The sequence below is a fragment of the Homo sapiens genome, chromosome 11 (assembly GCF_000001405.40).
Source record: "Homo sapiens chromosome 11, GRCh38.p14 Primary Assembly".
In the NCBI taxonomy this organism is placed as follows: domain Eukaryota; kingdom Metazoa; phylum Chordata; class Mammalia; order Primates; family Hominidae; genus Homo; species Homo sapiens.
In genome coordinates this window covers 83,919,645-83,938,490 of record NC_000011.10, presented here as the reverse complement: position 1 = coordinate 83,938,490, position 18,846 = coordinate 83,919,645, and the positions used below count along the sequence as shown (strand labels likewise).

Below are 18,846 nucleotides of genomic sequence, written 5' to 3'. Positions count from 1 at the left end.
CCATTAACAAACTCCCTAAATGGAACATGTTTGCAGATTCCTCTTTAAATCTGCACGTGCTGTTACCACTTTCTAGAAAGCCCTCTTTCACCCCTTTCACTCTCTTTCTCCCTTTTCACCCTCTTTCACCCTTTCACCCTCTTTCAAACCTGCACTAGAATTGCTACTCTCAGCAGTGTTTACTTTCACATATTCTTAGCTCAGTCTCTCTCTGAAATGGTAAGAGAATTAGGTGCTTTCACTTCCTGCTGTCCCCACAGCCCCATATACAATTTTGTATTTAACTTTATTCAACATTATAAAATAAAGCATTTTCCTGTCTCATTAAAATGTTTTATGAATATTAACTTTAATGGTTAAACAATAAACCGTCATGTGAATGTGTCTTATATTCCATACCCTTCTTTTGCTGGACATTTTGATTGTTTTGTTTTATTCTGTTTTGCTGTTATAACAAATCACAATGACTTTCCTTCTATAGAAACTTTTGTACATATTTTTTATTTTTCTTCTTCAGATAGCACACTAGAGTAGAATTGCTGAACCAAAAGACAGGATTACTTCTAAAACTCCTGAAATATATTGCCAAATTGCTTTCTTGAAATGTTTTAAGGAGGTTTTACACTCCATAGCACCAGCAATATAGTGTCTGTTTCAACATACCACAACTAAATTGTGATTTGTCAATTTCAAGATCCTTTTTTTAAAAATAGGTAAAAGGGATGTATCATTTAATTTGTGTTATTTTTATTCCTAGTGAGGTTATTTATATGTGTGTGTGTATTTGTCATTTGTATTTTCTCTTGTGATTGGATACTAATTGTCTTTGTTTTTTACTAAAATGTTATTGCATTTCTTATTGAGTTGTAGGAGCATCTTTAAAATATTGATAAATATATTTGAGCAAATGTTTTCCCCAGCTTATTGCTTGTTTATGAGTTCTTGCTTCAGTGGTTTCAATTTTTTTTTTTTTTTTTTTTTTTGAGATGGAGTCTCACTCTTTCGCCCAGGCTGGAGTGCGGTGGCACAATCTCGGCTCACTGCAAACTCCGCCTTCCAGGTTCAGGCCATTCTCCTGCCTCAGCCTCCCCGAGTAGCTGGGACTACAGGCACCCGCCACCAAGCCCGGCTAATTTTTTATATTTTTAGTAGAGACTGGGTTTCACCGTGGTAGCCAGGATGGTCTCGATCTCCTGACCTCGTGATCCGCCCACCTCGGCCTCCCAAAGTGCTGGGATTACAGGCATGAGCCACCGCGCCCGGCTGGTTTCAAATTTTTATGTAGTCAAATCTCTCATCTTTTATGTGATTCCTCCTATTTATTTCATGCTTAATTTTTTTTCCATCACGATTCTTAGTAACTACTAACCTGACATTTTGTAGATCTATATTTATCCTATGAGTTCAATTAAAAATTTTTTAAAAATCAATACAAAGCCTTTAAAAGCAGGTTTACAAAAGTGTAAGAGTTTAAACACTAGTATAGGACATATTGAACCTTCCTCAAATAATTCAAATCCATGTCTCAACGGCCTTGATCTGGCCATAATATTGACCCTGTGACTCTTAGACTATATTTGTTTAAACATCTTTCAGAAAGCCACAAAAATTCTACTATAGCTGGACACCCTCACCCAATACCAAAAACAGAGATCCCTCTCCCTTTTGTTACAATCACCATTGTCAAGGTCATTAATATTCAACTTCTTATTCCAATGAAACACTCCATAACCCATTTACAACCCACTGCCGTGAGAGAGCCTAATTTTGTTGAAACCCAAACACTTTTTAAGGAAATAAAGCATCTTAATATTCAAAACAACTTTAAATGATGCAGCTCTTACTCTGCCCTTTGTCTCCTCAATCTTCCAATAAACTCCTCAATAAACACAGTAAAATATAACTGAGAGTGATGTTTACATAGAAAAAATAGTGAACCAATCCTAATTTCTACTTTTAAATAGTAAGTATTTGCAGACTGTGGTATCTAAACTATTATTAATAACAAATTACTTATGACCCAACAATCTGATGTGATACCACAGCTGTGAACCATACGGGAAAGCAAACCATTATAAAGATCCAGGTACAAATCGGGCGTTAGAGTTGGGGCTGCTATATTGTTAGAGGCAGTGAAAATAATTGAGAAGTACAGAGAAAGTGGTCATCAACCTCCAGGGCTATTAAAGAGGATCAATTACCTTTTAAATATACAGAGCAAAAGTGAGTCTTTAGAAGGCACCTGTGCAGTACCTTTTGCGAGACTAAAAGCCATCGATTGTTACTTCCTTGGTTCAACCCTCTTGTAGAGAATTCACATTACATGAAAGTGCTATCGTGTGAACTGACTGATTCTAAGTGAGTGGGTGAAGAATATTATTTGTAGGAATTCTCACAAAGGGGACCAACATTTTCTGAGGTTATGCATCCTTGTGAGCTCGAGTGTCTAAGAGTGATAATCAAGATAATAATAATGGCTCCTTTTTGGTGAGCTCTGAGTAAGTGCCACGGACTGAACTAAGTGCTTTATGCACATTGTTCCTATTTCTCACAATCATCTTTAGGCTGATATTACTATTCCCACTTTCCAGATGAGGATGTTAAGAAATAGCATAAGGTCATACAAGGTAGAATTTGAAAGAGCCAGATCTAAACCTAGTTTGGTTTGCTTGTACTTAACATGGTGCTCATAATAATTTAGGTCTGTGCATAATTTTGCAATTTATAATTTTTCTGGTAAACAGAAAAATCTTTTTAAATATTATTTTAGGTCTATAAATGAGAAAGCTAAGATTTGTAAGAGTTAAGTAAGCGTGGCGCAAATAGGCATCTACTCCAACTGCCCCCGTGGAAATTCTTGAGTGCCCAATTCAGTGGTGCTTGGAATTAGGGGAGCGAATAGGTTCTTACAAATCACCTAGATCAATCCCTCCCCTAGATGTCTCTATATCATACTTTAAGGCCTGTATAACACCTTAATCAAGTGACTAATACCTTTCTGCTTAAAGTTCAGTATAAGAGAAGTCAGCCTCTTTCTTAACCATTTTTATAATGTCATTTCACATGTTGAGCCACATAGTTCACAGCCTGATACTAATTCTCTTTTATCCCCTAATTACTTTTAGGGCTTCCCAAAATCCCACCCTTAAGAGCTATTAGCCCAGGACTGGAATTCAATCCTCTTATACTTTTCCAAATCCTTGGCCCAATAAACAGTGTATTATTTGTAAAGAGGAGCATGAGGCACCCTTTTAAAGTTACAATCCTTTTTCCTCAAATGATATCTGGCAATATATTAGATACTTAGGCATCTGAGCCCTTGACGTCCCAGCTGCTATAATTAATGCAGTTTGGTTCTATATTCTGCAAATACAGGGCATGCGGTTGGATGCCCCCTCCTATTATGGCAACCCAAGAAAACCATAGCAGGATAACCTTTGGAGAATCTGAAAGTTCTGCAGATTTAGCCATATCAGTCTATATGATGAAGAAATTTATGCTCAAAATCATATACATATATGACCCAAATCCATCTTTTTGTAATTTTAGATGTCCCCTTTTAGTTCTGGCTCGGGAAAAGAGAATAAAAGGTACTGATCACTTTTCATTTCACAGTTCCTTTCATTTTCTATGACAGTACTTCAGTAATACATTCTTGCATTGAGGAAAGTAATGGGGAAACAAAGACACATGAGATTTGGTCCTGATCCTCCAGGGTCTAATATTCTAGAGAAGGAGAGAGCATTGTGAATTAATAAAGACAGTGCAATGAGGTGAGGTCCCTGCCTGAGACAGCCTGAAGGCTTTGAGAGCTCTTTGGTAGGGAGTTAGAAAACTCAATAAAGTGTAAGTCACTCTCATTGTTATCTCTGAGAGAAGAGAGTCATATTCCTTTGACCTTGTAGGTTCAGGTGCTACACAGATGAAGACTATTTACAATCACAGTCATTATTATCACTGTCTTAAACATTATCTCTGATACAGGGCAGGGACTATAGTGAGGTGAGTGAGGTACTCATGTTGGGTGCAAAATTTAAGGGGACACCGAGAAACAGCAATTAAGACAAAAATACTTTAATGAAATATTTTAGAAAATAAAATTAATGCAAAAGAATTTATAATGAACAAAATATCAAACTTTTAAAGATAGAGTCAGTCTGGTATTAGTCTCAGGTACTATGTAATTACATAGAGGCCCAAGGTTTTGTCTGTTGGCTTTGGGAGGCATAGTCTAGTTGAGGTGATATGAAAGAGATGTGAAAATAAACAAGGTGCCTGTTTTATTTTCACTGTAGTGATTGCAAACATGAGATCAGATCTAACTTCCAATAAGGGAACAGGGTGGGAGATGGGTAGCTGATTGACAACTAATGTCATATGGGAATCATCAAAGAAATTCAATAGCATGAGCTCTCATAACCCTGCTGTAAGAATGAACCCAGACAGTTATTCTAGACTCAAGGAACCTCTAGACATTTTAGCAACAAAATTTGATAGAGCTTCACTCTGGTGCTCTATAATTAGTGGACACAGCTACAGCTACCTTCTCCATGTTTGCATCTTTTCCTTTTTCTGTTAACTGAAAATTTTTTCTCCTTTATTCACATTATTCACCTTCCATAGGAGAATCCAAATGGCCTAGGCCTTTTTTTTCTCTCTTTCTTTTTTTTGAGCCCCACCATACAGATCATGGTTGCAAGGTGAGGGGCCCAATCCTAATCCAATGGTCTAAACTGCTTTGTTTAGGGAGGAAACTGAATTTGATAGTGCAAGTGGTCCAAATGGGAAGGAGCAGTTATAGGCAAAGTAGTTTTCCTAAGAATAAGGTATAGATGAAGCACCTCCCTCCAACATACACCAGTATTGTGGATTAGCAATTAAAAATGACAAGGAAATAGAACAAATAGCAAGTGCTAATGGAGTTCAGAGAAAAGAGAGATCACCAAGGGCCAGGGTGTGCTAATTATATGCTATAAGAACCTGCAATTATAAACCCATAGATGTGCAAATAAATGCTGATGGCTCAGCAGATGAGCTACAACGTCATTATCTATGGCTCTTTATAAATGGACAGCAAGAGAAATGATTTGTTTATAAATTCACTTAGAGATTGTACCAATATCTTCAAATACTTTTCCCTCCCTCTGTGGGCATCCACAGATAGGCCTCTTGGGTTGGATTTTCATATTCACTACCTTCTGACCTAGGCCATTCTGGCAGTTTATAATAGGATAAGCAGGCCCTTTCAATTATGACTGGCTGATTCACGCTGCCAAAAGTCATTTCCCCTTGGCACTTCCTTACCAACTAAATGGGAAGTGATAGTGGCATCTGTTCTGCCACCCAGATTTCAGTGATGGTTTATAAAACGGCATTTCTTGTTTGTCTGATGGGCAGAGGTCACACAGAATATAACTGCAGGGAAAGACTAAGAATGCTGGCTCCCAGTATTAGGCCTTCTGGAACTCAGGGCCGAGAAGTCTGTGAGGAGCCCACTGTGCCCATTGGAGCGACTCTCACAGGAACTATGGGCAGGCATTTCAGTGGCTAAACTCAAACGCACAAGAAACCTATCCCTTTGAGGGCAGATGAACCATGCGCACATGCTATAATTAAGTACTTAAAGCCACTCAGTTCATGATAACATTGGGATTCTGGTTCTTCTGGTATAACCTGTGAGAATTTATAATGGCCTGAAAAATTTAGAGTAGCTTATGGCTCCCTTGAAAGAACCAGAAGGTTTTTTAAAATTTCCCTCTGCAAAGAATGGCTAAAAAAAAAAAAAATTATCTATTCATTCAAACATTTACCAAATACCTACTATGTGCCATTTCTGTGTTCAGACTGTAGCCTATGTTGTACTTTCTGTATACTGTACTGTGCTCTAGTACATAATATACATACTATATGATAGAATATATGACAGAATCCTAGCGCTGTAATAAAACCATTAGATATGCCGGGCGCGGTGGCTCACGCCTGTAATCCCAGCACTTTGGGAGGCAGAGGCAGGCAGATCATGAGGTCAGGAGATCAAGACCATCCTTGCTAATGCAGTGAAACCCCATCTCTACTAAAAATACAAAAAATTAGCCGGGCGTGGTGGCAGGCGCCTGTAGTCCCAGCTTCTCGGGAGGCTGGGGCAGGAGAATGGCGTGAACCCAGGAGGCGGAGTTTGCAGTGAGCCGAGATTGCGCCACTGCACTCCAGCCTGGGTGACAGAGTGAGATTACGTCTAAAAAAAAAAAAAAAATCTTCAAATGTGAACCCCATTTTTATGCCACTTGAAAGGGGATTTTTACTGATATTTTTAATGTTGTTGTTTGATTGCAAGAGAACCTTGTCAGTATTGCAAGAAGGCTTTGTCAAATTTGTCAAGTGGTTTGTTATGTTTTGGTATACTTTCATCTACTCATCTTCTGAGATATTAAGTGCTCTCACAATCAACAAAAGAAACTGGATGTGATATCTCTATTCTTTAGCCAGTGAATGTACAAAATAACAAGTAAATAAATAGGTAAGAAATAGAAGGTGAAACAAAGGTAAAATGAACCTGCGATATCAGTAACTGTTTCTCTGTGTTGATAAGACTTTGAACGGTGAAGAATTAAGCTTAGCAAATATCAGTCCACTATGAAACCATCCTGAAGGTGACTGAAAGCAAAGAAATAAGAGCCTTCTTCTAAAATCCGAGGTATTAAAGCCTGCTCCAAACACCAAATCTATTAAATATGTGAATCAAACGATAATATTATATTCACAAAATGGTTCCCAAAAGATTCAAATAAAAGTTTCAAGAGTTCAACCCTGGACAAAATACAGGATCTCATTTTCATTGGCTTGAATTTATTGTAATTTTCAGAAAGTAAAATATTTTCAAAGAGAAACTGAATAAAGAATTCAGTTAAATACAATATAACCAGGAATTTTTAAAAGATCTCCATTAGCCAGCTTTGATTGTGAAAATGTGACTCAGAATATGGTGCTACTGAGGTAAAAGGACTAGGAGAAAATTGGAAACATCATTTTCTTAGTCTGTAGAGTCAACATCAGACTGAGAAAATTGGATCAGCCCTCCCAGGCAGAAACAACAATGTTACCGAAATGACATTATCATGAGAATGTTTTATGATCTAAAAGAAGTCATTGAATCCTTTCTTCTAAGGTTCTGTGCTGGCAGTTTAGATCAGCTACCATTTTGTGTATAATAATATTTTCAAATTAAGATGCAGAAATTTCTCCAAGTGGTCATAGGACCAAATTATATGGAAAGAAAATAACATTCTTTACATTTCCTATGTATACAGAAGATATTAGATGGACTCCAAACATAATTAAATATATTAGCATTTGTAGTAGGCCCTATTTATACTATTTCTTTGTATTAGATGTGCAGTCTTAAATTTTGTAGGAGTATATCTGTTAATATTAGGTCCTATTTATATAAGAAAAAAATGATCCTAGCTTGAACAACACAGTTTATCTTTATCCACATAGAAGGAATTCAAAGGTAGCTAGTCCAGAGTTGGTATAGTGCCACTCCATATTATCAGTGACACAGGTTCTATCTTTATATTCCACTATGTGTATTTTTTGGCTTTATCCTCAAGTTTGCTTCATGGTCTAAGATGACCAGTGAAGCTCCACCCATCATGTCTGTGTTCCAGGTAAGTAAACGGAGGAAATGGGAGAGAACAAAATTTCAAGAATTCTGGCTAAACGAGCTTCCTTATAAGCAGCTATTCTAGTTCACAAAATACTTCAGAGCACTCACATCACATTGGACTGAACATTTTCATGGGGCCACTTTTACCCACAGAAGAGTCTGAGGAATAAAGTCTTTATTATAAGAAAAGTTACAAGTGGAAAATTGGGTTTCTTTTAGTAACAAATCAAGATAAAATGGCATTGTTTTTACTTTTGCACATGCTGAGATGCTACTGGTTGCACAGGTGTTCCTTGTATGTACTAACCATGCATATCTTTCTCTTCCTCTTGTATCACCAGGCCTCCGGAACCTGTTTACAGCACTGTGAACAAACTATGTGATAAGCCTGCTTCTCCCAGGCACTATTCCCCTGTTGAGTGTGACAAAAGCTTCCTCCTCTCAGCTCCCTATTCCCACTACCACCTAGGCCTGCTACCTGACTCTGAGATGACCAGGTACTGCATGCGCTTCCTCACTTCATCTTCTCGAACTGCATGTGCTTCCACAAGGATAAATGGGTAGAATCCGCCTCTGCTCACTTCTCTTGCACTAAACATCTTCCCCAAAGTGGAGAGATGTTCTGCTGTTCCCTTGGTGCAATGGGAGAAATTAAGAACATTGCCTTTTTGTTTTGTTTTATTCCCTGGAGTGATCACAGAGCACTTAGACATTGATCACATGATGCTCCACATGTTCCTGGTTCCTATACATTTTAATAAGGCATTCATTATATTTTTCCAGAAGAATTAATTTTGGAACTTAACACCATTTCACTCATACAGAAGGATGAAAGAGAACATTTGTTGAATATTTTTAAATAATATTTAATAAGTGCTTACTATGCTCCAGGCATAACATGGCCTAAGAAATATGCACTATTATCATTTAATATTTTAACTAAAATATTAGATTAATATCACCATTTAACTGAGTCTTTAAGGTATTAAGCAACTTGTCCAAAACTACAGGATTAGTTGGTTCCATCTCACCACACGGAACGTAAAATTAATGTTTATATTATGTTACCATCCTATGTATGTACATATATATATATTCTCTTATTTAACTGCTCCCAGCCTATTTTAAGAAATAGAAGTTCAGAGTGGTTAAAGGTATTGCCCTCAGTATGATCTTGCCAATAAATGTAGAGTCCAAATTTGACCTTAGAATGTTTTGAGAATGTTTTGAGTCTTTCAACAACTTTGTAAAGAAATTATTCTAAGTCTGAAAGTTGGACACAATTCTGTGTTAGTATTCCAAAGCCTATATATGATAAATAACAAAAAAGACCTCCTCTTTTCATAGTAGCCTGAGTTGGAGAGAGAGGAAAGCAAGAAAAATAGAATTCAGCGTTCCACAAGGTAGTTCCAATTCAGTCTAAACAGAGATCCCAATTGTAATGTTCCTACACAGAATGGGGTGTCTATATAGTTATTTTTTCAGACAGGAATATCTTCATAATATTGTTAGAGCTGAAAAAATACAGACTTTAGAACGATTCAGAGTGAAGATGGATATATCAAGAGGGTCTGCTAAGAATATCATCTTTATTTTTTGATACTTTGAAAGAATAAGTTTGGAAGTCAATTACTGTTCTCTCTAGGAGAGTTAAATAACAAATTTTAAATTACATCTAACATTTCCAGAAATAAATGAGAAAACACATTTTTGACTATGTAAATCAGCTAGGGCATTTTTTTATTAATTTGCAATAATTAAAGTCTAACTAATATTTCAGAATACTTTATAAATATTCATTAAGTCCACCTATATTTTTAACAAATCATTAAAACTATTTGTTGATACAGTGAACTATGCCATTTTAAAGCTGAAAGGTCAAAGTCACCATAGCCGTAAGGAAGTGAGAAGAGCCACATACCTGTAATGACTTGCTAGTAATTATGTACCTATAGTCAGCTACATAAGGGTAGCTAACATTTATTGAGCTCTTCTGTGCCAGGCATTTTGTTAAATACTTCTTATGAATTATTTCTCTTAATCCTCACAATAATTTTTTGAGGTAGATGTTATTATTATCTTTGTTTTACAAATGAGAAAATCGAGACTTGATAAGTTGCCTGACTTGCCCAAGATCATCCATTAGTAAGTGACAGCTGGGATTCAAACCCAGATGATGACTGACCTGGCAGACCATTAGCCATTTTTGCTCACTGGAAAAAAATTTCCCCCCATTTCTCTTTTTCTATCCTTTCCCTATCTTTATCCCGACTTCTCATATTCCTTCCCTTCTTCTGGCTCTGTGTCAGTAAATATTTTTTTTCTTTTTATCCTGTGTTCCTTTTTTATGAATGTAAAAGTTACATTGGTTTCCTTCCATTCCAATGGGGATTTTGAAGCATCCTTCCTGAAAAATTCACGAAGAAGTAGCTGATAACAGTTCACCTCTATGTGCACCTGCCAGATATGATTCTTTTCAGCTTGCTTTCTGTCATCTGTATCATGAATACCATAGTTATTTATTTTTCAAATAAAAACATTATAGTACAATGTTGAATTTTTTTTTCAAATTACACACCCTAATTCTGATATGCACCAGGCCCCAACCCCCATCCACCATTCCCCTTTTTGGGTATTCTATTTTCAATTTATTCTAATTTGGTCCCCTTCTTTCTCCTTCTTTTTTTCTTTTTCCATTATCTTATTCTTTATCTTATCTTTGTAGAAAAACAGTCATAGACACACAAAAACACACAGACAGCTATTTTAGTGGCCTTGTCACTACCAGTGCATTGACACCAAAAATCTTAATTTCACCCCACTTTGCTCCTCCTCCATACTTCCTCAACTTAGTAAATGGCACACACATCTACCGCATTGTTCAAGCCAAAAACTTGAGAGTCATCCTTACTATGTTTTCCCTCATATCTGCCATTCAATTCATCTTCAAGTCCTGTTGATTCTACCTCCAAAATATCTCAGATTTATTCACTTTTCTTTACTTCTATTTCCACCACTTTAATCCAAGCCCCCATCATCTCCCACCTATAATAGCTTCTTAATTGGTCTCACCATTTCCACTGTTGACCTCCAGGCTTATTCTCAGTGCAACCAAAGTGATCTGTAAAAAATACAGATCAGATCTCCTTTTGCATTAGGATGCAATGCGAAGTCATTAACATAGCATCCAGGCTCTGCATGACCTAGCCACTGCCTGCCTCTTGGATACCTCATTTCACTCTTCCCTTTGCTGACCACATATTCATGTTGGCCTTCTTTTTATTCACAAAATGCACTAAATCTCTTCTAGTCTCAAGTGTTTCACATATGCTTTTCCCTGGAATTGGAAAGCTCTTTTTACACTTTGCCTGATTAATTTCTGGTCATCTTAGATCCAAGCTTAAATTGCACGTCTTCAGAGAAGCTCTCTAAAACAGAAAATCAGGCCCCCATTATATATTTTCTTTCTATTTTTCATAAGACTCAAGCAATTTATAATTGTACATTTATTTATGTGATTTTCATGACTGTATCACCTGCTACACTGTAAGCGCAATGAGTGGAATTGTGTATTTTTGGGCACTGCTATATTCCTAACAGTTAGTACAGTATCTGGCTAGCAGGAGCTCAGGATTATTGGATGAATACATAAACATGGAAATAAAATCTGCAAACAAGCAAACTGTTACCTGTTTGAAAACAAGTCGTAAGCTCAAGCTGCGCTTTACCTAGTTCTTAGTAGGTATATAAAACTACTCCATGAATGAATGAATCCATGCATAGAAACAAATAATAACTAGAACTTACTTTATGTCGTACTTTCACCATAAACTATGTCTATGGTGATTGTCTACATTATAAATCCATTAGGCACCTGTCAGTTCTTCGTGAGGACTCAGTAATTCATTTCAGATATTATTTATTTTTCCAATGGGAAATACCTCTCCAAGCCACTGTATCTTGAAATGCAGCCAATAATTCAGGGGCAAAGTAAAATATTCTGGTTCCATTTTTGACACCATCACCTGTGTGCTGTTCTCTGTGTTCTTGAATAACATATAGACCCTCGGAAGTAGATGAGAACTTAGAATTAGATAGAAAAACCCTTATCCAACTCTAGTAATGTTGTGGAACCCAATCTACTATCTTCACAGTCTACGTCTTATTACACCTCATGGTTAAATATAAATATTCTAGAATCTTTTGCCCTAAAAAAGATATTATAAAAATATATCTATTAATTTATTTAGCTAAGCCTTATCAAGGATCATCCACAAAGTGCAAGATGCTACTATAATGGGACAACTTTTTACAAAGGTGCAAGGTGAAAAAGCCAAAAATGTTGAAGAAATGCCTGATTTTTAGGATGCAGTAGATAATGATGTATATTTTGTTCAGAGCTTTTGAAAAATTCCTGAAGTCTATTCCAGAAACTTGCCCATATTGATATAGCAGTTATGGCTTCAGATTAGAATATGCACTAGCTCTGGAAAAGTTAGCATGTGAAACCATCCTTACATTTACATCAGTTTAATTCCTAATCCACATTTAGAAGAATAAAGGTTAGTCAGCAAAAGCAACCTGAGTCAGTCTTCTGTATTTTCTGAGCTTCAGTGGGAATACCCAAGTTCTCAGCTCTTTGAATTAATAGCAAACATTCAGGGATGAATTAATTGTACACACAATTTACTTCTGTAAGACCGTTTAAAAGAAAACAGAGAAGTTGTTAGTTTTTCTTAGGAAAGCACTTTAAATTACTTGGCACAGTGCCTATGGCTGCAGATTATGTTTGGAGGAATTGACTTCTTAATGCTTGCAGAAGCAAGAAATGTGCAGAGCCTGAAATCAAACTAAAATTTGAAAAACAAATAGGATTTCTATGGGACTCCTGCTTATCTAGTACATCTCTTTTTCTTTGAAAAAAGGTAATTTTGATGTTTTAATTGGTTTTTCTACTTTGGGAGAGTAAGTTTTTCAGCTTTTGATATTTCTAGGGCAAGGAGAATAGTATTCTTGGCTGTTTTATCAATATTTATGGCATACATTTATTTGTCCTTTTACATAAAAGGTCCTAATTATTGTTATTTTGCAGTTGATAACAGAGGCTGAGATAAACCAGATGAAGGCTAATTAAAATATATTGGCAGGTTTTGGATGGGAAATGAACTGTGAAGCACTATATCGTCATAAAACATCTTCACTCACTGAAGGATATATATATTCATGGGACTTCAACTAGTTACCAGGCATCATCCTTAATGTTAGGGATTCAAAGGTGAAAAAAACATGGTCTCTCCCCTTAAATATCTCACAGACATATAAATGAAGAATTACTTACCATGTGATATATATCTGCTAAAAGGCCTCAGTTTCTCAAATGTACCTAATCTCTAGGTAGCTGTTAAAATAACAAATTTAAAGAAATTAAACTTAACAGAGTTTATTTGAGCAAAGAACAATTCATGAATCAGGCAGCACTCAGAACCAGAAGAGGTTTAGAGAGCTCCACTGAGCAGTTTGAGAAGCAACCTTTTATAGCCTGTACACAGAAGCAAAGCAGAGAAATCACCTGATGGGCTACAGCTAGGCATCTGCTTTATTTGGGCACGGTGTGATGAGTTGGCTGCCTGCAATTGACTGAAACCCAGCTGCTTGTGAGTATCTGAAACGCTACTCTGTGTAACACTTCTAAGTTAGGTTTCAGATTGTTATGTGGGAACTCAGAGTATGGAGACAGCGTTAACCTAAGGGCCTCCTGCTTATTTAATTTAGCATAACTACAATCAGATTATTACAAGCGGTAGTGTTGGAAGCAAATATGACCTCAGACTGTTCCTTCTGCAGAGGCATTAACATACACAAAGAAATGGCCCCGTCCACACCTAGCCATCAATTTCTAATCATGTATAAGAAGCATTATCTATGAAAAATGCACACTCATCTTCTCATAGGTCTAACTTCTAACTGTTCTCTGCTGGGCTCAGAGAATCCACATTTATAATTTACCACCTTTGTAGAAATCATAACGTTGGCAGCCTCAAGCCATTCTTAGTTTTGGGATGCAGAGCAAGATCTTTATTTTATAAGACCTCAATCATATGCCAGAGTTATGGTAAGCCCCTGAATAGTACCTCAGGCTGAGGTGAGAATGAATTTTAATTTGTATTAAAGAACTGTTATAAAAGACTGTTTCCGTTCATAGCTTAATAGCGAGTCCAGTGAATTGTGAAGGGAGATGAATGGTAGGGTTGGCAGTATGGGGGAAGGGCTGTGCAAGCCTGCCTGTATTTTTATAGAGATCTAAGTATTTTACAACATGCCATTTTGTTTTCATTAAGGCTTCAAAATTTACTTCTCAGAGAAGAGAAAGTAAACCTTCCATTTTAACCCTTTAATTCAGTTCTGTAGACTATCAGCCCATATGAAGTTATAGGATCCCTTAAATGAGTTTTTAAAGTCAGCAGGTATATGTGTTCCAAATTGAATACTAAAACTTATCTTTGGCAAGCTTTCTTTCCTTGCAGAGTGGCAGAAAATTTACTGGGCCTTTAATGTTTTAACTGTTTCAAAGTCTGTAAATACAAAATCAAATACAAATTCCAAAACTAATCTCTAATAGAAGTGCATGTAAGTCTCTAAAGGTAAACATAGGAGGAATTACCTAACTCTGCCCTTGTTTTTCTGGGCATTTTCATGAAGACACTGAGCTTATCAGTAGGATTAGGGAAGAGATGTGTTCCAAGTAAAAGAAATAGGAATAAGTTAAGCATCGTGTTATATAAAGGCACACAATGCCTTCTGGGACTACCAGACTACCTGTGTGGCTGAGGGCTATTGGGTGGGTGATAAGGTTGGAGAAAAAGGCAGCTGTGTATCATAGAAGATCTTACTTACCAAGCTGAGGATTTTGTACTTTATCCTATAGGCAGTGGGGAGCTGTTGAAGAGTTTTAAAGCTGAGCAAAGACACAAGCTGCTTTGCATTTTTAAAAAGATCACTCTGCCACCTGTGTGGGAAAAGTTTGAATGCAGGGAAACTAGTTAGTATTATATTATAGAGCAGGGTTGAAATAATGAAGAACTGAACTGAGACTATCGAGATAGGGAGGTACAAATGGATTCAGAACTATTTATTAAATAAAACAGGTGGTACTTGGTGACTGACTCAGGGGAAGAATTTTCTGGCTTGGGATATTTACTGGAGGGTGATTCTTTGCCCCTGTTGGACAGAATGAGCACTCTTGTCCACAATAAGTACACTTAAACATAAAACTCTTTAGAAAACAATGGGAGGGAAGGGAGACAAAATATATCGGGTCCCTTGTTTGAGGTAGTGGCAAGGTGAAGTCACAGAGGAGCTAAGGATTGTGCCCGAACTGTCTAGGTCTGAAGCCTCCCATTTGGCCATACTAATCATGTGCATTTTAGCTAAACATGTTACCACCCTCAGAGCCTCAATTCCCTCATTAGAAAGTGAGAAGAATAATTGTATCTGTGCTGTTCCCCTCATAGGATTGCTGTGATGATCAAGGGAAATTGAGCAAATGAATTTTCATCCAGGCACTAGCCACATTAGTCATTATTAATTGTTCCCATATGTGTATTCTATTTTAAAGCCTTGAACTCATGTATATTGATTTTTGTTGCTATCACAAATCAGGTAGAAAATGTTTATCAGTTCAGGCAAATCCCCTGAGGTCATAAGAAAGCTGTTTGGGCTGAGACCTTCTATCATTCTTAGCAGCCATCCTTCTTGTCATCATAATCAATGTCACATATTTTTCCTTTTATTATTACGTTTATAGGCTCCCTGTAAATGGCAGCATGTGTCTAATCCCATATGTGATTTTATACTTATATGAGATACTTTTCTATCTACTCATAGTGGTATTTCTGTCTTACATGTTTCTTCTCAGGAGTGTGGACAAAATAATAGCCGCTTTATGGTACACAGATCAGTAGCCAGGCACTTTACATAGGTAGTTTATTGTTTCTAATAATCTCATTAATTTTGCAAAGTGTGTGTTTTGATCTAGCAATTGGAGGAATCTGGGCTGTACCCAAGGCATTCTCACATCCAAGCTCATCTTCTCACAGAGCCTTAATCACGTTCACTCTGTACACTGTAGCTTCTCACTCTGTTCCCCACTTCCCACATCCACTCTGCCACGAATCTGTAGATTCTGAAAGGAAATTTGAGCCTTGTTCACACGATTCAATCTGGGAAACAGCACCATTAGAAAAAGAAAGAAGATGCTTACAAATCAGTGACCTTCTTATGCCCTTAAAAGGCTGATATAATCTTAAAGAATTCTTTATTTCACTTTTAATTAAAACCAAGAGACTGAGCCCTCTGAGAATGACTCACAAGGCATAGCCCCTTTCTAAGTTTATGTAGTAGCTTATTTTTCAAACGCTGTCACTCCCTTTTTGAAGTAGGTGATCACTAAACCCAATATGAATTAAGGAAAATAAGGAGAGATTAATTGACTCCCAGAGTGACAGAGGCCACTCTTGCTACATTTGGTTTTATAGCCTATTTCCTCTGCAATGCAATCTGTGAAAGGGTTTACATGGAAAGAAATACCCCTTGATTTTATATTAATGCATTGTCTCAATAGATAATTTCTTAAATTTACAGCATTCATTGTTGTCCCTCACTATTTTTTGATACTAGCGGGAAGATATTCTTTCATTAAGAATTCAATAATTGTTTTAAAAGCACAGTTAACATTTTGTAATGTAAAGGACAACAGAAAACAAGGAACTCACCCTGTTTTAAAAGCTCTTATTTACTCTGCACAACAACCCAGGCAGGTAGAGTCAGGAGGCTTCATGAGGGTCAAATACCTTGAGATAACAGAGTTGGGAAGTGAAACCAGATTGGTTTTACTCCAGAATTCCTATTCTGTGACGTTCAAATAACTCCGTGATAAAGCAATCTAAATTTAATTGATTAGCTTTTTAAAAAAAAGTTAAAAGTGAGATAATATCTCTATCTGAGATGATGTGAATATTTTCTGTTAGTTTTAGTATGTCTGTTTGTGTTTTGGGAGCAATCTTTGTATTTACTTTAGTAACCATCAAATTATTGGGTAGCAATAAGAAAACAGAGAATAAGCACAGCTTCAAAAGCATTCCTTTGTGAAGGAAACTACCTATGAGAAAATTCTATGCAAAAATCACCATGGCAACAAATTGTAGGACTCAGAATCAAGATAGTAACGTTAAACCATAACACCCATTGCGTAGATATTAATTAAAACCACTGATGTGTATTGGGTGCCCTTAGGTGCTATGCGCTATTCCAGAAGTTTTATATGTACCAACTCATTTTAACCTTATAATGACTTATGCGGTAGCTATGATCATCCCAATTTTATGGAAATATTACGGTACATGGTTTGAGAAACAAATGGAAACAATGAGATGAGATAGTTGCAAATGAGGTCATCAGAAATTACACTTAGAATATTAATTTTATTTGAGCAGAAGTTTTGTTTTATTTATCATTTTATTCCCTGTGCCAAAAATCGTACCTGGCATATAGTACTAATAGTAACAATGACAATACAGATGATGATGATGGCAACTATGAGGATAATGATTACAACAATCACTGTTTATCATCTTGTTACCTACCCAGCAGAACTTTATACAAATTAACTCATTAATCTCCACAGCAACCCAGGGAGGTATGTGTTATTATTATCCCATTTTGCAGGTGATGAAACAGTTAGCTAACCTTTCTAAGGTAGAATTTGAACCTAACTAGGCTGGTACTAGAGTCTGTGTTTTTAAATGTGCTTAATAAATATTGACTGAATATTATAGTAGTAATTCTTCAAGTATTGAATTCTGCTTCAGAGAAAAGTACACCCCATTAAACAATAGTCACATCTTTTTAGTAGATAGGTGATATATCAACAGATGACTGATTGATATATGAAGATAGATAGATAGACAGACAATGAATATATGGTTAGGAAACTAGACTCTAGAACACAAAATATTAGAGTTTGAATTTTGCCTCCACAACTTTCTAGCTTTGTAAACTTGAGCAAGGGACTTTTCTAAAAGGTAGCAATTATTGTAGTATCAATCTCATGGGGTACCTATAAGGATTTCAAGAGGTTTTATATAAAGTGCTGAGAGCAATACCTGATAAATATGAAGTGCTCCATAAATTTTAGCTATCATTATATTTGTATATGTGAGATGATGTATTGTGACCCCCCCAATAGATACCTCAGGCTGAGGTGAGAATGATTTTTTTTCAAAAGACTGTTATAAAAGACTGTTTCCATTCATAACTTAATAGTGAGTCCAGTGAATTGTGAAGGGAGATGAATGGTAGGGTTGGCAGTATGGGGGAAGGGCTGTGCAAGCCTGCCTGTATTTATATAGAGATCTAAATATTTTAGAATGTAGAATTTTATTTTAATTAAAAGATTAAAATCTGCCTCTCAGAGAAGAGAAAATAAACCTTCCCTATCAACCCTTTAATTTGGTTCTGTAGACCTTCAGCTCATATGAGGTTTAAAGGATCTCTTGAAGAGGGCTTTTAAAGTCAGTAGGTGTGTGTGTTCCAAATTGAATACTAAAACTTAAGATCACTCTATGCCAGAGGAAATGAATACCTTAGAGGGTAAAGAGGAATTTTATGGCTTGCTTTTAAAAGGAGAGGGTACACTGGGCCACTACTAAGCGGCCAAAGCCTTTGTCCAAATTTTACGAAGGCTCCCCTTCTTCTGGCACGCACTGTGTCAGGGTCTGTGGCATGGTGAACAGCATTCAGACTAGATTTCAGCCCTAACTCATCCCCGTGACCAAGTGTTCTTTGAGCAACCTGCCTAACATAATAAATTGACCCAAATGAAGATGGATATCAGGATATGAATAAGAATTTCATTTCTCTGTGTTATTTAGATCTCCTTCAAATTCATCTAATTCATGCTCTGTTTTCTTTCCTATGCCTCCGGCATAATTGTAAAGATATTATTCCATCAGCCTTATGGGAAAAAAATAACTAGATGCTAACATAGGTTCAGAGATGGTTGGGTACAAAGATTGGACTAAACAGTTTAGTCCAACCTCTATATTTTCCAGATGAGGAAACTGTCACTCAGACCCCAAACAGGCATTAAATTCATATTATAAGGTTAGCACTTCTGAGGATAT

General features: G+C 36.5%; 1 protein-coding gene across 52 annotated transcripts in view, besides 1 other annotated feature; it reads left to right on the top strand.

Annotated features, from left to right (window-relative positions):
- Nucleotides 1-18,846, top strand: part of DLG2 (discs large MAGUK scaffold protein 2) — a 2,173,362-nt gene that overhangs the window by 1,689,883 nt on the left and 464,633 nt on the right. For 39 of the 52 annotated variants that reach the window (NR_165353.1, NM_001351274.2, XM_017017256.3 and 36 more), the window contains one exon: nucleotides 8,008-8,163. The exons of the other annotated variants lie outside the window; for them this stretch is intronic. Coding sequence is in view for 38 of the 39 variants with exons in the window: in NM_001351274.2 (NP_001338203.1) it covers nucleotides 8,008-8,163 (156 nt within the window). In the remaining variant the exon portion in view is untranslated. The remainder of the gene's footprint in view (nucleotides 1-8,007; nucleotides 8,164-18,846) is intronic. 52 annotated transcript variants of the gene reach the window in all.
- Nucleotides 77-136: an enhancer, noted in NCBI's record as "active region_5355". NCBI's record gives its function as "activates an Ori minimal core promoter by ATAC-STARR-seq in GM12878 lymphoblastoid cells {active_cell/tissue: GM12878}" and the evidence as "EXISTENCE:reporter gene assay evidence [ECO:0000049][PMID:35858748]".